At 37.0% G+C, this 22842-nt stretch overlaps 1 protein-coding gene across 5 annotated transcripts in view; it reads right to left on the bottom strand.

The window, feature by feature from the left end:
* Nucleotides 1–22842, bottom strand: part of MAP3K13 (mitogen-activated protein kinase kinase kinase 13) — a 206134-nt gene that overhangs the window by 181040 nt on the left and 2252 nt on the right. For 2 of the 5 annotated variants that reach the window (XM_017007456.2, NM_001242317.2), the window contains exon 2: nt 22412–22538. Coding sequence is in view for 1 of the 5 variants with exons in the window: in NM_001242317.2 (NP_001229246.1) it covers nt 22412–22449 (38 nt within the window). In the remaining 4 variants the exon portion in view is untranslated. Of the gene's footprint in view, nt 1–8767; nt 16443–22411; nt 22539–22842 lie in introns of those variants that run through there. The other 3 variants (XM_047449193.1, NR_038322.2, NM_001242314.2) reach the window with 3 other exon arrangements.

Raw genomic sequence — 22842 nt, 5'->3', positions numbered from 1 at the left:
CCAAGGGAACAAAGTAAGTCTCAAAAAAAAAAAAAAAAAAAAAAAGACCCCAAAGAAATGAAAGTCTATGAATCACCAGACAAAGAACTCAAAATAGTTGTCTTAAAGAAACTCAATGCACTACAAGAGGACAGATAGACAAATAAAGGAAGTCAGGAAAATGATACATGAACAAAATGAAAATACCAACAAAGAGATAAAAACTATTTTAAAGGCTGGGTGTGGTGGCTCATGCCTGTAATCCCAGCACTTTGGGAGGCCGAGGCGGGCAGATCACAAGGTCAGGAGTTCAAGACCAGCCTGGCCAACATGGTGAAACCCCATCTCTACTAAAAATACAAAAATTAGCTGGGTGTGGTGGCATGCGCCTGTAATCCCAGCTACTTGGGCAGCAGAGGCAGGAGAATTGCTTTAACCTGGGAGGCGGAGGTTGCAGGGAGCCGAGATCACACCATTGCACTACAGCTCTGGGCGACAGAGTAAGACTGCATCTCGGGGTGGCGGGGGAGGGGGTGGTGCACCAAATGGAAATTATAGAGCTGAAGAATATAAAACTGAATTAAAAATTACACTAAGCAGATTCAACAGCAAACTTGATCAAACAGAAGACAAAATCAGCAAACCCATTAAGAATTATCCAGCTCCTGCTTGATAATTCAACAAAAAGTAAAAAGAATGAAGAAAAGTGAAGAATGCCTAAGGGACTTATGGAACACCATCTAGTTGACCAATATATGCATTAACTGGATTATCAAAAGAAGGAGAGAGAGAGAGAAAAGGACAGAGAGGTTACTTGAAAAAATAATGGCTGAAAATGTCCCAAACATGAAGAAAGAAATGGAAATCTAAATTGAACAAGCTGAAAGGACTCCAACTAGGATGAATCCAAAGAGGCCCACAGAGACACATTGTAACCGAACTATCAAAAGCCAGACACAAAGAATCTTGAAAGCAGCAAGAGAAAAGTGACTTGTCACATACAAGAGAACTCGCATGAGATTATTATTGGATTTCTCAGGAGAAACACTGCAGACGAGAGAGTGGTATGATACATTCAAACTGCTAAAAGAAAAAACTGCCAATCAGAAATACTGTAGCCAGCAAAACTGTCCTTCAAAACTGAAGGAGTTTAAATAAGACCTCAAACTGTAATAATCCTAGAAGAAAACCTAGGAAACACTATCCTGGACATTAGCCTTGGTAAAGCATGTATTATTAAGTCCTCAAAACCAATTGCAACAAAAACAAAAATTGACAAGTGGAACCTAATTAAACTAAAGAGCTTCTGTACAGCAAATGAAACTATCAACAGAGTAAAAAGACAACCTACAGAATGGGAGAAAATATTCACAAACTATTCAACCACCAAAAGGTCTAATATCCAGAATCTATAAGGAACTTAAAGAATTCAACAAGCAAAAGTCAAATAACCCCATTAAAAGTGTGCAAAGGAACTTTGAACAGACACTTCTCAAAACAAGACATACATGCAGCCCAACAAACATGAAAAAAGCTTACCATCACTAATCATCAGAGAAATGCAAATCAAAACCACAATGAGATACCATCTCACACCAGTCAGAATGACTATTACAAAAAAGTCAAAAGACAACAGATGCTAATAAGGCTGTGGAGAAAAGAGAATACTTATGCACTGTTGGTGGGAATGTTGATTAGTTCAGCCACTGTGGAAAGCAGTTTGGAGATTTCTCAAAGAACTTAAAACAGAACTACCATTCAACCTAGCAATTCCATTTCTGGGTATACATCCAAAAGAAAATAAATTGTTATACCAAAAAGACACATGCACTCATGTACATCACAGCACTATTCACAATATCAAAGACATGAAATCAACCTAGGTGCCCATCAATGGTGGATTGGATAAAGAAAATTTGATATATGTATACCATGAAATGCTATGCAGTCATAAAAAAAGGATGAAATCATGTTCTTTGCAGCAACATGAATGCAGCTTGAGGCCATTATGCTAAGAGAATTAACACAAGGATAGAAAACCAAATACTACATGTTCTCACTTACAAGTGGAAGCTAAACATTGGGTACACATAGACATAAAGATGGCAACAGTAGACACTGGGGACTAGCAGACAGGAGAGGAAGGGGAGGAAGGGAGACAAGAGTTGAAACACTAACTATTGGGTACTATGCTCACTACCTGGGTGACAGGATCAACTGTATCCCAAACCATAGCATCATGCAATATACCCATGTAACAAACCTGCACATATATCCTCTAAATCTAAAATAAAAGTTGAAATTATAAAAATAAATATATACAATTTCAAAAATTTTAATGAAGGAAAAAAATAGACCTTTCCAGATCATCAAAAGCTGAAGGAGTTCAGCACTAGAGCTGCCTTACAAGAAATGCGAAAGGAAGTCCCTCGGGTTGAAATAAAAGGATAGTAGATAACAACTTGAAAGCATATAAACACGTAAAGCTCTCTGTAAAGGTAAATACACAGGTAAATACAGAATCATGTAATACTGTAATGATGGCACATAAATCACTTTTAATTCCCATGTAGAATTTAAAAGATAAAAGCATAAAAAAACTATAACTATGAAATTATATTACTAGATACAAAGTATAAAAGACATAATTTGTGAGATTGATAAAGTAGAGGATATGTGAAGGAGTAGAGTTTTTGTACATGGTTTAAATTAAGCTGACATCAGTTTAAAATAGATTGTTACAATTATAAGATGTTTTATGTAATCCCCATTGTAAACACCAAGAAAATACCTTTAGAAGATACACGAGAGAAAGTGAGAAAGGTGTCAAAGCATGTCTCTCTCTACAAAAAGTCAACAGAACAAAAAGGCAAGCAGCAAGAGAGGAAAACAGGTACAAAAGAACTACGAGACATATAGAAAAGAAATATTAAAATGGCAATAGTAAGTCCTTCCCTAACAATAATTACTTCAAATGTAAACAGAACTCTCAATCAAAAGACATAGAAAATGGATTTTAAAGAAAGACCCAACTATAAGCTATGTATAAGAAACTTACTTTAGATATAAGAACACACATAGACTGAAAGTGAAAGGATGGAAAAAGATATTCCATGCAAATGATAACCAAAAGAGAACAGGGGTGGCCGGGTGCGGTGGCTCACGCCTGTAATCCCAGCACTTTGGGAGGCCGAAGGGGGCGGATCACAAAGTCAAGAGATTGAGACCATCTTGGCCAACATTGTGAAACCCCATCTCTACTAAAAATACAAAAATTAGCTGGGCATGGTGGCGCATGTCTGTAGTCCCAGCTGCTCGGGAGGCTGAGGCAGGAGAATCGCTTGAACCCGGGAGGCAGAGGTTGCACTGAGCCAAGATCGCGCCACTGTACTCCAGCCTGGGTGACAATGAGAGACTCTGTCTCAAAAAAAAGAGAACATAAGTGGCCACACTAATATCAGATAAAAGAGACTTGAAATTAAAAAAAATTGTCAAGAGACAAAGAAGGACATTATATAATAAAGGGTCAATTCACTAGGAAGAAATAGCAATTATAAATATGTATTTATATTTGTAACAGCAGAACACCCAAATATATAAAGGAAACATTGACAGACTGAAAGAAAAACCAGATGGTAACACAATAATAGTAGGAGATTTCAATGCCCCACTTTTAATAATGGATAGAACAACCAGGCAGATAATCAATAAGAGAACAGATGACTTATACAACCCTACAGACCAATTGGTATTAACAGACGTACAGAATATTCTACTCCACAACAGCAGAACACATATTCTTCTCAAGGGCATATGGAACATCCTCTGGGACAGATAACACGTTAGGCCACATGACAAGTCTTAACAAATTTAAGAAGACTGAAACCATACCAAGCATCTTTTCCAATCACAAGGAAACAAAACGAGAAATCAACAGCAAAAGGAAAACTGGAAAACTCACAAATATGTGTAAAATAAACAATATGCTCAATAACTAATTGGTCAAACAAGAAATCACAAAAAATTAGGAAATATCTTGAGGACAAATGAAAACAAAAGCACAACATACCAAAAGGTATGGGATGCATCAAAAGTAGTACTAAGGGGGAAAGTTATTAGTGGTAAACACACAATAAAAAAGAAGAAAGATCTGAAATCAACAACCTAATTTTGCACCTCAAGGAACCAAAAAAAAATTATAAACTAAACCCAGTATTAGTATTAGGAAGGAAATAATAAAAAATAGAACATAAATAAATAAAATAGAGGATAGAAAAATAATAGAAAGAAATCAGCAAAACTAAGAACTTGTCTTTTTAAAAAAGGCAACAAAATTGACAAATCCTTAGCTAGACTAAGGTAAAAAATAGAGAAGATTCAAATAACAAAAATTAAAAACAAAAGAGAAGACATTACAACTGATGCCACAGAAATAAAAAGGATTGTAAGAGAGTACTATGAATAATTATATGCAAACAAATTGGATAACATAGAAAAAATGATAGATTTCTAGAAACATACAACCTACCAAGACTGAATCATAAAAAAAAAAAAATTGGAAAAGACCTGTAACTAGTAAGGAGAGTGAATCAGTAATCAAACACCTCCCAACAACAACAAAAACAGCCAGGACCAGATGCCTTCAATGGACAATTCTACCACACATTTAAAGAAGAATTAACACTGATCCTTCTCAAACTCTTTCAAAAAATTGAAGAGGATAAAACACTTCCAAACTAATTACCACTACCCTGATACTAAAAGCAGACAATGATACTCTAGGAAAACTACAGACTGATATCCCTGATGAACACTGATGTAAAAATCCTGAACAAAATATTAGCAAACAGAATTCAACAGCATATTAAAGGGATTATACATTATGATAAAGTGGGATTTATTCTCGGAACACAAGGATGGCTTAACATATGAAATCAATCAATATAATATACCACATTAACACAATGAAGGCCAAAAACCATATGACCGTCTCAACTGATTCAGAAAAAGCATGATAAACTTCAATCTCCTTTCATGATAAAAACACCCAACAAACTAAAAATAGAAGGATATTATCTTAATACAATAAAGGCCATTTATGAAAAGTCCACAGCCAATGTCACACTCCATGGTGAAATACTGAAAACTTTCCCTTTAATATCAGGAAAAAGGGAAGGATGCCCACCTTCACCACTTCTACTCAACATAGTATTGGAAGTATTGGCCAGGGCAATTATACAAGAAAAAGAAATAAAAGGCATGTAAATTGGAAAGAAAGAAGTAAAATTATCTCTGTTCACAGATGGCTTGATTATATATGTAGAAAAACCAAAAGATTCCACAAAAAATTAATGAATTCAGCAAAGTTGCAGAATACAAAATCAATGATTCAGAATACAAAACACAAAAATCAGTGTGTTTCTATACACTAACAATGACCAATCTGAAAAACGAAACTAAGAAAACAAACCCATTTATAATAGCATCAAAAAGAATAAAATAATTAGGAATAAATGTAAAGAAGGAGGGAAAAGACTTGTACATTGAAAACTATAAAACATTGCTGAAAGAAATTAAAGAAGACACAAATAAATGAAAAGACATCCCATACTCATGGAGTGAAGACTTAATATTATTTATTTGTTAATTTATTTATTTACTTTTTCAGACAGTCTCGCTCTGTCACCCAGGTTGGAGTGCAGTAGTGGGATCTCAGCTCACTGCAACCTCTGCCCCCCAGATTCAAGCAATTCTCCTGCTTCAGCCTCCCAGGTAGCTGGGATTACAGGTGTGCACCACCACACTCAGCTAATTTTTTTTTTTTTTTGTATTTTTAGTAGAGACAGGGTTTCATTATGTTGGCCAGGCTGGTCTCGAACTCCTGACCTCAAGTAATCCACCCGCCTTGGCCTCCCAAAGTGCTGGGATTACAGGCGTAAGCCACTGCGCCTGGCAAGACTTATTATTAAAATGTCCATACTACCTAGAGGGACCTACAGATATTATTAAAATGTCCATACTACCTAAAGTGACCTACAGATTCACGCAATCCCTATCAAAATCCTAACAACATTTTTGCAGAAATAGAAAACAAAAATTTTTAATTCATATGAAATCTCAAAAGGCTCTGAATAGCCTTAAAAAATATGAGAAAGAAGAAAAAGCTGAAGGCCTCAAACTTCCTGACTTCAACATATATTACAAAACTTTAGTAATCAAAACAGAATAGTACTGGCATAAACAGACATATTGTCCAATGGAACAGAATAGCCCCAAAATGAACCCTCATGTATATGGTCAAATGATCTTTGACAAGGGTGCTGAGGTCACACAATGGGAAAAGGACAGTCTCTTCAACAAATGGCATTGGGAAAACTGGATGTCCACATGCAAAAGAATGAAGTTGGACCCTTGCCATACAAAGGTCCTATAAAATTTGACTACAAAGATGAACTCAGAATGGATCATAGGCCTAACTGTAAGACCTGAAACTATAACACTCCTGGAAGATAACACAGGGGAAAAGCTTAATGACATTGGGTTTGGCAATTATTATTTGGATATTGACATGAAAAGCACAGGCAACAAGTGCAAAAATTAGACAAATGGGACTACAGCGAACTTACAAACTTACATGCAGCAAAGGAAATAATCTAAGAGTGAAAAGGCAACCTTAAAAAGTTTCTCAAGAGAACTTGACAAAAATCCAGAATATATTAATATAATGAAGTCTTACAACTCAATAATAAAAAAAAAAAAATCCAATTTAAAAATGGGCAAAGAACTTGACAGACATTTCTCCAAAGAAGAGATACAAATGACCGACAAACATATGAAAAGATCCTCAACATCAATAACCATCAGGGAAAGGGAAATTAAAACCAGAATAGTATCACCTCATACCTATTAGGATGACCACTGTTAAAAAATTAATTAATTAAAAATAAATAAATAAATAAAAATAATAAGTGTTGGTAAGGATGTAGAGTACTTGGAGTCTCTGTACACTGTTGGTGGGAATGTAAAATAGTGCAGCTGCTATGGAAAACAGTAGGGAAGTTCCTCAAAAAATTAAAAATAGAATTACCATATGACCTAGCAATCCCACTTCTGGGTATATATCCAAAAGAATTCAAAACAAGATTTCAAAGAGATATTCACACGCTCATGTTCATTGCAGTATTGGTCACAATAGCCAACAACCTAAATGTCCACCAACAGATGAATAAAGAAAATTTGGTATATTCACACAATGGATATTATTCAGCCTTAAAAAAGAAGGTAGGCCAGGCGTGGTGGCTCATGTCTGTAATCCCAGCACTTTGGGAGGCTGAGACAGGTGGATCACTTGAGGTCAGGAGTTTGAGACCAGCCTGACCAACATGGTGAATCCCTGTCTCTACTAAAAATACAAAAATTAGCCAGCGTGATGCCAGGCACCTGTGGTCCCAGCTAGTCAGGAGGCTGAGGCAGAATAATTGCTTGAACCTGGGAGGCTGGAGGTTGCAGTGAGCCGAGATGGCGCCATTGCACTCCAGCCTGGGCAACAAAGCTACACTCCATCTGAAAAAGAAAAAAAAGAAAAAAAAAATAAGGAAATAGGGCCGGGCGTGGTGGCTCACGCCTGTAATCCCAGCACTTTGGGAGGCCAAGGCAGGTGGATCACCTGTGATCAGGAGTTCGAGACAAGTGAAACCCCATCTCTACTAAAAATACAAAAACTTAGCTGGGCGTGGTGGCGGGTGCCTGTCCCAGCTACTCGGGAGGCTGAGGCAGGAGAATAGCTTGAACCGGGGAGGCGGAGGTTGCAATAAGCCGAGATCGTGCCACTGCACTCTAGCCTGGGCAACAGAGTGAAACTCTGTCTGAAAAAAAAAAAAAAAAAAGAAAAGAAGGAAATCCTATCATATGCTACAACACAGATGAACTCTGAGGACACTGTGTTAAGTGAAACGAACCAGCCACAAAAAGAAAAATATTGCATGATTCCACTTATGTGAAGTATCAAAAATAGTCAAACTCTTAGAAATGGGAAGTAGAATGGTGCTACTAGTAGAATGGGGAAGAGAGAAAAGGTGAGTTATTCAAGGGGTACAGAGTTTCAGTTTTGCAAGATGAAGAAGTTCTAGAGATCTGTTTCACAACAATATATATACCGTTAACACTACTGTACTGTATCTTTAAAAATTGTTTTAAAAAGAGAGAGAGAGGGCCGGGCGCGGTGGCTCACGCCTGTAATCCCAGCACTTTGGGAGGCCGAGGCGGGTGGATCATGAGGTCAGGAGATCGAGACCATCCTGGCTAACAAGGTGAAACCCCGTCTCTACTAAAAATACAAAAAATTAGCCGGGCGCGGTGGCGGGCGCCTGTAGTCCCAGCTACTCGGGAGGCTGAGGCAGGAGAATGGCGTGAACCCGGGAGGCGGAGCTTGCAGTGAGCCGAGATTGCGCCACTGCAGTCCGCAGTCCGGCCTGGGCGACAGAGCGAGACTCCGTCTCAAAAAAAAAAAAAAAAAAAAAAAAGAGAGAGAGAGAGAAAACAGACAGACATACAGAGAAGATAGCAATATGAAGATGGGGTCATCGACTGAAATGTTGTTACACAGCACATTGCTGTACTTCATTCTGGCAGCCCTAGGAAAGTAACACAAGGGCCCACAGAAGAAAGCTTGCAAGTGAGTGCAGGCTCCTTTTGTGACTGGGGCTTCCCGTTATTCTGAAATGTTACATTAGCCCACATTCAGCCTTTAAGAATTCATTACAGTTTTAGCTGCTTTCTTCTTACCTACCTTTACGGTGCCTTCTCTTCCTCCTATGCTCTGCCAAAGGTAACACAGTTTCTGTGTCCTGTCTCTCTTCAAAAGGGCTTGCCTCTCTTTGGAATTTCAGTTCATCTGATTGCCTTGTGACCTCAACTCTCTGATGAGCTCAAGAAGCATCATGACTTTGTGGATTATCAAGATTTTTCTCATTGTTATGATGGGAACAATGTTCTCTTGCAACATTCTACATCCTAAACAGAAGCAAAATTTTCAGCATTTCCTGAAAGATGATTCCAAGGGTTATTAATAGATTTTATGAGCGAAAAAGAATTGTGATTACACGTTTGGAACGTGTTAAGATACACTATAAACTTTCAAAAAAGACTGCAACATTTTCCAAACATGTCATTACAGAACCCTTTTGGCTTACAAAATCTCTTGCAGTTGTGTCAGACATTCTGTGTACCATAGTTTAGGAGATAATGAGTTAAACGCCTAGACATGTTTTTTTTGTCCTCACTATATGGCAAAATTAGTGTCAGCAAACCAGTTGGGGGATATTTTCTTTCTGCCACTTCACCACTTTGACTGAAAATAAGATCTTTCTGTTTCTACATCACTTATGCTGGAAGATACGGTGACCTTTGCATTACTTCTGTCTCTTCTCAGGTTTTCTCCCGTTACTCATCAAATGCCAAAATGAGGAGATACTTGACTTCTTAAAAAATGAACATAAAGTTCCATCAAATAAATAAAATATGTAAAGTAAATTCAATAAACATATTTTAAATTAGTTAGGATAATGTATACTTACACATTAAATATAACAACACAAATTTAATCAGCAACATGTTATACATAATGCTTTTGGTAAAATACTTTCCCTTTGAGTTGTCCATTTTAATGGTTCTGTGGTGTTCTTAATGTTTCTCCTCATTTCCTTTCCTTGAAATACGTGGAACATAAATGGTTTTTTTAAAACATACATATTTCCATTATTTCCCTAAGTCTATGGTTCATTTAGTTTTCCTCTTTCAACCCTGAAAAAAATGGTGTGGGACAGATGTGACTTCAAATGTAATATTTATCTCTAAGTAAAAGATAGAAAAGAGAAAGCTTTCTAAGAAAGAAGAAAAAAATCAAATAAGAACTAGCACATTTTGCAAGTGGAACACCATTTAGCTAAATATTCTTATCTTTTGCCTCAAAAATACCAGCTTTGTTTAGTGAGGTACTGCAGAGTTTACTGAAAGGCCTGTAGTCCGTCGCCACGTTCCCTGCTTTATCTCTGGCCTGCAGACATGGCAATAATTCTCAGACTCAGTTTTAAAAGACAAAAAAAAAAAAAGACAGAATTAGGAAACTATACATACCATGAACAGAAAGACATGTACTGTACAATATCTATTAATTGTATGCACACAGAGAGAGAGAGAGAGAGTAGCTCTTATTTTGGTTACTGTATTGGTGAAAAATTTCTTGAAGTCTAATTCATCTAACTCCCAATCTTCCTACCCTGTTTAGTTGTGACTACATAAGAACCTGTTTCTTTTTCTTTTCTTTTCTTTTTTTTTTTTTTTGAGACGGAGTCTCACTGTGTTGCCCAGACTGGAGTGCAGTGGCACGGTCTCAGCTCATTGCAACCTCCGCCTCCTGGGTTCAAGAGATTCTCCCACCTCAGTCTCCCGAGTAGCTGGGATTACAGGCATGTGCCACCACACCTGGCTGATTTTTGTATTATTAGTAGAGACAGGGTTTCACCATGTTGGCCAGGCTGGTCTCGAACTCCTGACCTCAGGTGATCTGCCTGCCTTGTCCTCCCAAAATGCTGGGATTACAGGTGTGAGTCACTGCGCCCAGCCAATAACCTATTTCTAAGTTGCCAATTATCTACCTCAAAAGGAAGGAAGCCACAACCACTGGACTCTCATGCTACCTCATGATTAGAGGAGGAGAAACTGGGGTAATTGATGTGCTGGTTGGTATTTTTCACAGCTTTCAAAAATATCCAATTACTAGGTTTAAATCAACCTTGGGAATGTCCTGGACATGACATAAGCAGAGGTAGTAGCTGTGACTACCATCTCTCAAATGTAGCAGAGCCTTTGTAATGGACAGACTGTGTACATTTTATGCCAATAGGAAATTTCCTAATACAGAAAGCAAGTTTTTTTTTAGAAGAGTAACTGCACAATGTCTTATAGTTAAATAGGTTTTCTGGGTTTCTATGTAAGACTCAAATATCTGTGACCTGTGCCAGAGAACAAATTCTTGATTCCAGTTCAATCATTTCTGAGCAACCTAACTCTCTAATAAGTCAAATTTATAACATGACTTTAGCCACTGTGCAGGACCTTCTGTACATTAACTTTACCCACTTTAATACTATTACATTTGCTTTGTCTTATTCTCTTTATGTCCCCATCCTACATACTATATGCATTTTAAAATATTTTTTAGAACAAGGCAGGATATAAATAAATTTAATTAATTCATCTTGTAAAATCATCTTGAAATATTAAGTCCTCATAATTTGGGCTACAGGTCTCATTGTCCCAAATATGCATCTCTGTGAGTACAGGTTAAATTCACTCAACTAATAAATAAGTTCTAAGGGCCCACCATGTGTCAGTCACTGTTCTCAACACTGGGGAAAATACCTATGAAGAGAATGCCAATCAGAGATAAGTACAATGGAGAACAGTAAAGCAGAGAAGACTAGGGATGCCATGTAGTGAGGTTACAATTTTAAATAAGATGGTCAAAGAGGGCCTCACTGAGGTCACATAACCTGAAGGGCCTAAAGAAGATGAGAGATTAAACCAGATAGATATCTAAGGCAAGGGTATTCCAGGCACAGGGAATATCAAGTACAAAGGTCCTGAGGCAGAAGGAAGCTTGGCATTTCTAAGGATCAGCTAAGAGATCTGGGCTGGGTAGTCCAATAGATGGTAGAGAGGTAAGGAGAGAGCAGAGGCATATCAGGTAAGGCCCTGGAGACCATTATAAGGACTTGGGCTCATACTTGGAGTGAGATGAGAAGCAACTGAAGGGTTTTGGTTTGTGTGTTTGAGACAGGGTCTTGCTCTGTTACCCAGGCTGGAGTGCAGTGGCACAATCATGGCTCACCGCAGCCTGGACCTCCTGGGCTCCAGCAATCCTTCCACCTCAGCCTCCTGAGTAGCTGGGACTACAGGTGTGTGCCACAATGCCCGGCTCATTTTTAAATTATTTTTATTTTGTAGAGACTGGAGTCTCACTGTGTTGCTGGTCTTGAACTCCTGGCCTCAAGCAATCCTCCTGCCTTGGCCTCCGAAAGTGCTGGAATTGCAGTCGTGAGCACTGCAGTCAGTCAAGAGGAGGGTTTTGAACAGAGGAAGTTAAACAACCCAGAACTTACAGTACTGAAATATCTAAGTGAAGAGTGGTGGCTGTGGGAAGAATCAGTTGACAAATATTTACTGAATCCCTACTATTTGCCAGGAAATTTCCTAAACACTGGGCATACAGTGTAATAAAACATGCACCAGTCATTGCCCTCCTGAAGGTTGTCTTGTAAGATTATTAATAAATGATTATATATGAGAAATAATTACAACTATGCTAGATGTGAGAAAAAAATGGGTGATTTATGACAGAATGATAGAGAAGGGAGGTCTAATCTAGTCTGAGATATGGAGGAAGGCTTCTTGGAAAAAATAATATTTAAAGTGAGACTGGTAGTATGAGTAGAAGTGGGTTATGTGAAGAGGAACAGGAGAGAGGAGGGCATTCCAAGCAGAAAGTATCTGCTCTGCAAAAGCCCTAAAGAAGGCTGGGCGCTGTGGCTTACGCCTGTAATCCCAGCACTTTGGGAGGCCCAGGTGGGTGGATCACGAGGTCAGGAGTTCAAGACCAGCCTGGCCCACATGGTGAAACCCCATCTCTACTAAAAATACAAAAATTAGCCAGGCATAGTGGCGGGCGCCTATAATCCCAGCTACTTGGGAGGCAGAGGCAGAGAACTGCTTGAACCTGGGAGGCGGAGGTTGCAGTGAGCCAAGATTGCACCACTGCACTCCAGCCTGGGCGACAGAGCAAAACTCCGTCTCAAAAACAACAACAACAACAACAACAAAAACAACAACAAATACCCTGAAGAAAAAAAAATGGCATTGTCAGAGAATTGGAAGACCATTATGGCTTGAGCTTAGTAGACAAAGAATGATTGAAGATTTGGGGCTGAATTCTAAGGGCAATAAGATAATAAGAGTTTAGATTGGAGGACCAAAAAGATTAGAATTGTATTTTTAAAAATCAGTCTAAAAGCAATGAGATTAGAGGGGGGAGGAGTAAATACAAAAAACCATTGAAGAGTTATTGCAAAAATGTAGGCGAAGATGATAAAATAAATAAGGATGGACATGGAAACAGGTGAATAATTTGAAAGATATTTAGGAAGTAGAAAAGACAGAATTTTGCAATGGATTAGTTTCATGAGGGTTGTGGAAGAAGGTCAGGGATAGCTGAAGTTGCTTAACTACTCTCTTGAACTTTCTCATAGGTAGATCCTACTTCCTACATGGAGAGGTAGTAATACCAATGCCATTTTTTGGCAAAGGAGTGGAGGAAGAAGGAACAACAAAATGTCAATTACATATAGTAATGAGCCTTTTATGCCACAGCTGCCAATTGTCATAAACATAACAGCCTCGATTTATACAACCTTTGCAATTCATTCTGTCTCCATTAATGCAAGAAGTTTGGCCATGGCTGTTCAGGAAGAATGAGGCAGTTGGATTCTACATTATACATCTTCTGATAAATATTCATATTGCTAGGACTATGTACATTCATATAATTTATAAGCAGAGAAAAGTAATACCTTGTACAACCTTCTATCACAGTTTAAATAAGTAATTCCAGGGCACTAAAGACAGCATTTCAGTACACTAAAGCACTAAAAAATTAGTTCTTCATCAATGAATTGGAAAGCACAACCATGCCCTATTGTTCACGGACACTATAATAAAGTCACCTATGCTAACCTAACCAATGCTATCATCAAAGAGGGAGATATCTATTTTTAGGAGTAACAGTTGAACAAGTTAATGTCAGTGACTTATTTATCTTAAATCATTAAACTAAAGATAAACCTAGTTACTCAGAGAAAGAAAAGAAATGGCATTTTCTTTTCCAGAGACCATCAAATTCCCAGTCATGCTAACTACATTCTCGATAGCCTCTCTCTACTTAGTCCTCAAGTAATGCTAAAAGGAGGGTTTTGTTTGCCATTAGGCCAGAAAGATACAAGTAAAAAAAAATTAAAAAGCAAAATATTTGACACAATCCTTCTGCTAGTAGAGGTTGAAGCAACCTTTTAAATGCTATTATCAGAATAGATATTAAAATATTAAATATCCATAAGGCATATAGGCTTTCTCTGTGCTACAAAATAAAAAATATTTCAATTACACCATAAGTCAAATTGATATTAAATTCTTTGTCACGAGTAGTAGCATAAAGTGAAAAAAAATGCTGAGTCTCCTAGGAATCCAAATGTGTAGGAAGGCATTAGTGCCAAAATGGTACTCCAAGAACAGCAACTGATGGGCGGGCACAGTGGCTCATGTCTGTAATCCCAGCACTTTGGGAGGCCAAGGCGGGTGGATCGCTTGAGCTCAGGAGTTCAAGACCAGCCTGGGTAACATGATGAAACCCCATCTCTACAAAAAATACAAAAATTAGCTGGGTGTGGTGGCATGTGCCTGTAGTCCCAGCTACCTGGGGAGGCTGAGGTGAGAGGACCACTTGAGCCTGGTGGGTCAAGGCTGAAGTGAGCCATGATCATGCCGCTGCTGTAGCCTGTGCCATTGCACTCCAGCCTGGGTGATAAAGTGAGACCCTGTCTCAAAAAGAAAAAGAGGCCAGGCATGGTGGCTCACGCCTGTAATCCCAGGGAGGCTGAGGCAGGTAGATCACCTGAGGTCAGGAATTTGAGACCAGCCTGGCCAACATGGCGAAACCCCATCTCTACTAAAAATATAAAAATTAGCCAGGCGCAGTGGCGAGTGCCTGTAGTCCCAGCTACTCGGGAGGCTGAGGCAGGAGAATCGCTTGAACCCAGGAGGCAGAGGTTGCAGTGAACCAAGATTGCGCCACTACACTCCAGCCTGGGTGACAGAGCCAGACTCTGTCTCAAAAAAAAGAAAAAGAAAAAGGAAAAGGAAAAGAAAGAAAGAACAGCAAGTGCAACTCACAGGAAAAAAAAAAGTACATTTTATTTAATGACCAAGTACACACACGTTCACACACACACATTTGTACATATAACTAAAACAATTTTTTATTCTTACCACGTGGGATGCATTGTGAAATATTCTATGTTCTTTCATGTAAAGAAAAATGAGGGTCACATTTTAGTAAAAAAGTTTCACAAATCACTAATATGTTATAATCTATAACTCCCATAACTGCTCTAAAGCATTGACAATGCTAAGCTATAATTTTAGGGGAATATATATTCGTGCTCCTTCTTAGAATTAGCCCATGATAGTATTTTAGGGACTCAACTCAGAGAAAAAAAATTTAACATAGCCTTGTTGCCATGTATCCAACCTGGACATGGTACATGCTTTCAGTGAGTTTAAATCACCTACCTTCCTAGGCCCAAAATCTGAGGGAATGACTTCCAACTGTGTAACAGGACCCTTTGTCTGTATTATACATTTTATATATGTCTTTTCATGTACATTATTTCATTTGATCCTCACAACAACCCTGTGAGGTAGGCCGGGGGGAAAATGTTAGATTCACTTTATAGATGACGAAGTTAAGGTTCAGAGAGGTTAAGTGACTTTCTCAGTTACCATATACCTAGTACGAAGCAGACAGAATAAGAACCACTAACTTTTGTGGTTGGGGGCCCTTTTCTCTAAACCACATAGCTTCTGAGAGTATAATGTAACCCAAAACATTTTTACCGCTTCATCCTCATTTCCTTATTGTTAATTCAACTTTTTTTTTTTTTTTAGACGGAGTCTCGCTCTGTCACCCAGGCTGGAATGCAGTGGCGTGATCTTGGCTCACTGCAGCCCCCGCCTCCTGGTTTCAAGTGATTCTCCTGCCTCAGTCTCTCGAGTAGCTGGGATTACAGGCGCCTGCCACCATGCCTGGCTAATTTTTGTATTTTTAGTAGAGATGGGGTTTCGCCATGTTGGCCAGGCTGGTCTCAAATGCCTGACCTTGGGGCATCCAGCTGCCTTGGCCTCCCAAAGTGCTGGGATTACAGGCATGAGCCACCGTGCCCAGCCTGTTAACTCAACTTTTTATAGGATATGATAAAAGACCTAATTCTAAATTCACCAAATTTATGCTTCTCTATCAATGAAAACTTATGGCCACAGAACACATTTTTTTTTTTTTTTTTTTTGGAAAGCACTGTCTCCTTGGCTCTAGTCTAAAGGAACGTAAGCAATATGAAGGACCCTAGAGGCCAAGGAAATTGAAGAGAAGTCAGAGGAAGGGATATAAAATGGAATGTATTAATGGATTTTAGCCCCTTTAAGCTTGTACTTTTGTGAGAGGGTTCAATGGAGAGCTTTAATGCAGATGAGACTTGAAGCTTCTGAAGAAGATCTAAGTCTTGATGAGGTTATTCAAACTCAAATCTTGAATGCATAATGATGATAGGCCATGGTCTTCAAAAACGTGGTACTTGATGCTTGAAAACAAAACAAAACACAAAAAAATTCTACTACAAGTCTAATAATTTTTTTAAGGGAAATTAAAAACTACTTTTGGGTCAGTAATTAATCAGATTACTAGATACCATGCTGAAAGAACAAAAGGAGAAAATCAAAAACAAAGAAAAGGAAAAAAATTTTTTTGAAAAGGTACAGTAGACAAAATGGCTGAATATGTTCATTGGCTTATCTCTTTGATTAATACCCTTCACTGAAAATTGCAACAGAATTTAAAGTTCTTACAGAATCTCCCTGGGGCTGTAGTCAGATACACTGATTTGATGATAATTTATTGTATGTCTTTGATCTCTATCCATGATATCAAATTGTCTTAAAGAGCTTTTGATCTCTGAAAGCATAGCCAAAATGCTTGTTGGAAGAGATAGCATAAAATGATGTTCACTTTGTGGGGTAGGGAAATAAACTGATGTGGAAGTATTATGGTTCAAAAATATTGTAATATTTAAACAGGGAGAAAAAGAAACAATGCCTTCAAATAGAAAAATTCAGATCCCTTTGCAAGGTTCAAATGAAAAACATAGTAAAAATATTGTAAACATGTGCATGATGCAACAAAAGACAGGTTATAGCCCTCTGAAATTTCAGCACAGTAAATAATTATCAGAGGCCTCTGTCCCTCAGGGTATACTAGCCTCTGTTCCATACCTCTCCCTTCTCTTTTTCAGAAGAGGTTTTTAATCTCACTGACTTAATTTTGTGCTCATTCTGTTTATCTTATATGCTTGTATAAACCTGCCTAAAAACTAATAATAATAGCAGCTAATATTTACTGAATCTATACTTTGTGCCAGGCACTGCTCTAGACACTTTATGTAGATTAATTCCTTTAATCCTCACAACAGTCCATGAATTAGATACTACTAATGTCTCCTATTTACAGATAAAGAAACTGAAGTACAAAAAAATTAAGAAATTCAGGTAATTACCGAGCTGGTAAATAGTAGAGACAGGATTCAAACTTGGGCTCTCTGGCTCCAGAACAGAAAGCAACACCCACCACTCTACAAAATTGGTTTCAATACAACAGAATTTACCAGGACCCGGGCTTTATCTTAATCAGCATTGTGCCATGTCACAATCTTTCACTTCATGTTATGATTAGAAAGCACAGTGACTAATGTAAATTCCCCAACAGGAGTAATATAGAATCCATTTCAGCAGTCACTGCTCAGAAGTGACACCCTGTGGGAATGTCAAAGCAGTTTAAAAATGAAGCACGCACTAAAATATTATAGTGATAAAGGATTCTGACAACTTTACTCCTTTTTTTGCTTAGGTATATTTTCTATAACCTAATTTTTGTAAAGTGGATATGAATTACTTGTATAATTTTTTTAAAGTTTTTTCAAGCATGCCATCACCATTATTGGCATTATATATATTGAACTTACGCTAAAACTATTAGATAAGTTTGTTCTTGCTCTACTTGAATAGCCAAAAAAAACGTTATTCAAGATAAAGTAAGCTTTATGGTAATAATGAAATAATAATAATAGCTATTTTTACTTAGGCAAGCCTTTATATACATTAACCTTCAGCAAATTCCTTTTTACAGTTGAGGAAATTGAGGCTTGAAATGAATAATAAAACTTAATTAATAGACTGGAGCCCAGATTCAAATCTGTCTGTATTACTCTAGAGTTTGCGCTCTTTCCACTATACAACGCAGCCTCTCCAAATGCCAAAATATCTGTCCGACTGTCTTTTGTTATTAAACACACTGAAGAGATCTTTCTAAAATTCAGGTATTCTTCCTTTCTTCAATAGAAAATACCAAACATAAATTATTTCTGTTCAGTCAGGGTTATCATATTGAATATCCATTAATATAGAGCTGTTTTCATCTTATCAAAAGGACTCAGGTTGCTACAATTTTAAATTAGCTGGTCTGCTTTATGGTTTTTTCTTTTTTTCTTTGCCTCTAATAGAAGCACCTGGACTCTTCATGGTTTGTTACTTCTAATATCTCATGGAGTTAGATGCCAGCTAATTAAGCCTATCAGAATTGTGTCTAAAATAAAAGTAAACTGAGTAAGGACCTGAGAAAAGCATGTTAATTTTATGTCTTATAATTTGAAGTTCAAGTAATTTAAAATTTATGTCCTGGTTATGGGTGAGGTAAGGTTGGTGGATAAGTGACCAGTGGATATGTTAGCTATCAGTATTTAAATATAGGAATAAGAGATTAAACCCATCGACAATAAATCACTTTATTACACTATAAAAAAGTTTTTAGGATTTGAAAGAGGCCTCCGGAATAATCTAGTACACTCTCCCATACAATGAAAAATTCCCTCTACAATGTTCCTGATGTTCAAATTCTGCTTAAGCAACCCTAATTACCAGGAGTTCACTGCCTCTCAACACAGTCTGCTTCACTGCTAACTATTAATAGTTCTATACTTTCTCTTATTTTGAATGAAATTTGGCCTCAAATAACAGAGAACAAGCATACTTCCTATGGAGTTTCTCCAACCCTTCCAAAGTCTTCTAAAAATTCCCAGTCCCCTCAATCTAGATCATCACAATTACCCTTTTATAGGATCAAAACGTTGAGTAAAAACAGTTCTCCTGTTCTGCAAGGTAATCAAATCTGTTTTTGTGTATTAATGTTTTACAGGTTAAAGTGATCTGTTTAATCTTGGTTAATCTTGATCATAAACAATTGGAATGCTAGGAAAGACTTATGTTCTAGTTCAATTCAAATTGAACAGCAATAAATTTTTGAGTTCTCTCTTCTTTCTGCCCTCCCCAAAACAACACAAAACAGAATCTCAAAAGATATGGTTAACATAATAATTTATGTTGCTACATTTTAATTTTCTCACTTAGGCTTAGGTCTGCCTTCCTGTCATTTCGACTCTGTGAATAATCTTAAAACTTCGAAAATTATTTAAGCTACTCGCAAAATCATCAATTAGCCTATGACAGGCCCAGCTCTAAGGCCTTAATGCACTTATTTATTTATTTATTTTTTCTCATTGACTAACTCAATAACTTCCTATCTGGTTTTCTGGAATATATATATACACACAAACACACACACACATATTCTCTTTTTCTCTCTCTATATATATACACACACATATATTTCTGGAATATATATATTCTCTCTATATAAATTATATATATTTTTCTGGAATATATATATTCTCTCTATATAAATATATATATTTCTGGAACATATATATGTATGTAATATACATAGATGTAGGTATAATATACTATGTATCTATGTACACACATATATACACACACATACAGAAGCAGCTTTCCTCATTTCTGTGTTTTCTACATGTAACTTTTACATTCAGGTTCATCTCCTTTCTTTCCATGTCACCTTTACCATATTCTATCCTCTTGATTTAGGAAAAGAATCTGTCCTTGGATTCAATTCATTGCTATCCATTCACTTAGCAAGAATAAGGAGTCTTAATCTAGGCATCCCACTCACTGATTTCCCCTTCATGATGATAGTGATTAATCCCAAGGACATTAGGAAACAAAGCATCATTTAACAGAAATGACTATATGCAAAATACTCTGCCAAGTTTGCCCAGGATGGAGTCCAATGGCGCGATCTTGGCTCACAGCAACCTCTGCCTCCCGAGTTCAAATGATTCTCCTACCTCAGCCTCCCAAGTAGCTGGGATTACAGGCATGTGCCACCATGCCCAGCTAATTTTTTGTATTTTTAGTTGAGATGGGGTTTCTCCATGGTTGTCAGGCTGGTCTCGAACTCCCGACCTCAGGTGATTTGCCTGCCTCGGCCTCCCAAAGTGCTAGGATTACAGGCATGAGCCTATAACTTCTTTTATTCTACTAATCATGACTCAACCCCTAGTTAGCAGCCTTCATTATTAATTTTAACAGACACACAATAAGTGGTATCATATAGGTATGTATCTTATAAAGCCTATTCTCAAGCAAGTTTCTAATAAAATCTCTATTAAAAAATAAAGATTATTATTTAAATTTTCATATAATTAATTTTACTTATCTATTACTACTACTCCAAATATCCTACAATAAAAGTGTGGGAAGACAAAAATGATTATCGAAGTAAAAGTCACCAGAATTTTCTGCTGCATTCCCAAGGCAGATAATCAGCCAATTCAAAGTAATACAAAATGAGATTGCCAATTATATAAATTATTTTTCTGGTTTGCTGATTTTACTAACAGAACAAGCTATTCTTCGAAATGCCTTAAGCCAGTTCTAAACATCAAGAACAAAGTAAAATAATAAGAGTTGTTTAAAAAGTCCCTAAATAGCAATTCAAATAAAACAAAGTTCATCCTATTCAGTAATACTGTGAAGTTCAGAACTATGCCACTGCAATACTAACCTAGCTTGCAAACAAAGGTAACACCCACGGTATCACCTGGTCAGGTCAGCAACATGCAATATACTGTAAATGAATACTGAATTCAGCAAGACTAAGCACTGAGTATTCTTAAGATCTTAATAGTAACAATCTAACGTCAAGGTTTAAAATATATTACAATGGACTGGAATAGATTGCAGCTCTGAAAAAAACTTAACTCATTTGTGTAACCCTACTTCTTCTAAATAGTCCAAGTATTATAAGAACAGAAAGTCATAAGGGAATAGTAAAAGGCTCTCATAATTGTTAAATTATCCTAAAGCCTTGCTGTTTGTTTCCTAGCATTATGAAAATACAAACATGCTCATAGTAAAAAAAAAAAATCAACCCAGCAGAAATAGTATATGGAAAAAATGTGAGATGTAAGTCTCTTCTTCCTACTCTAGGCCTCTAGTCTCATTCCCCAGGGTAATCTGTCAATAATTCCTTACACTGGTTTGAAGAAGTTTTGTATGTATGTATATAAATGTATGCTCTATATAAACACAAATGAAAACATACTATATGTAAAGTTCTTTTTATTGTTTTCCCAGTTAATAAGGTATATTAGAGATTTTTCCATATCTGCATCTCTGCACCTACTTTATCCTAAGAGCTGCAAAGTATTACTCTGTATAAAGGCAGTCATTTAACTAGACCTCTGTTGAAGCACAGGCTATTTCTAGCAGGTTGATTTTTTTTTTTTTTAATTTCAAACAATATGGTGAAAAAAATCTTTGTATGCAAATTTCTGTGTGTAAGGCCAAATAGATCTGAAAGATGAATTCCTAGAAGTACTGCCTGCTATAGAATTAAACAAATTCTAAACAAGAAACCAGTGTATCTACAAAGGAGACCAGCAAAAACCTGTAAGTTTAATGTTTAGTGATTAAAAGGTGACAAATATTATCATAAAGTTAGAAGTTTAGGTTCTGAAAATGAACAAACTGATCAATTAAAAAAGGCAAAATGGGAGAAAAGAAATTTTGCCCCCTTGAGACAGAAAGATAAAAGGCCTGGAGAATCAACCACCTAACAAATTTTTTTTAAAAGAAGAAGAAAGAAAAAATAAAATAGTATAAATAAGGCAGAATAAAGAAACGAAGACATTTTTTGGCCTCTTTTCTTGCTTAAACCTGAGGCACAAGATAAAACTAATCAGTAGATTTGATACATATACTATTACACAGCGAAACTTGGATGCAAGATAATTTAAATGACTATTTGAGGCCTCATTTCTACACGGGATCCACAGATTAAATTATTTCTACCCGGATGTAAAGTGTTGAAAGGAAGCTCCCCCCTAAAAAAAGAAAGCAGAGCAGTAGCCTTCCAGGAACAATATAAATATAGCTTGCCAATCTTAAATTTCTTATCAACTTTACAGGAAAATAAGAACAATTGCTTCATATATACAAAACAAACCTCTCTTTGGAAGGTCCTGATTAAAACATAAAGAGATTAAGAACTGTACTTTTCAATTACAATCCTATAATTTCCTAGGCAAATTTAAGATTGGTCTACCATCTCACCAAACATAAAACACAGTCAACTACTTACCTCTCCCAGAGTGCTAGGATTTGAATGCCACAATACATATTGACTCATGTTTTTGTCCATTAATGGTCCGTGGGTTTCTTTAAATGAAGTCCATTTTAGAGTCCATAGATTTCAGTGTTCTGCAAAACTAAAAACCTCAAGAATGTCAATGTACAGACCTAAGGTACCACTGAGATACCAACTCATTATGAATAAAAGTTATACTACACAGACATTTAGATGTCCAAAATTTAGTGGACATCACATTGAACAGCAGATTGACACTGAACAGGAGACTGAGGTAGCAAAATTAGACTGCATTTTTAAGTAAGACAATAATATTAACATAAATCTACAGGATCTCAAAACATGACTTTGTACCATAATTTTATGTATTCTAAGGGTGGCACCACGGTAACAGTATACACAAATGGGCATGATTCTGGGCACTT

This window comes from Homo sapiens, chromosome 3 (genome assembly GCF_000001405.40).
Source record: "Homo sapiens chromosome 3, GRCh38.p14 Primary Assembly".
NCBI classification, from domain to species: Eukaryota; Metazoa; Chordata; class Mammalia; order Primates; family Hominidae; genus Homo; species Homo sapiens.
This window is presented reverse-complemented; position numbering and strand designations above follow the sequence as displayed.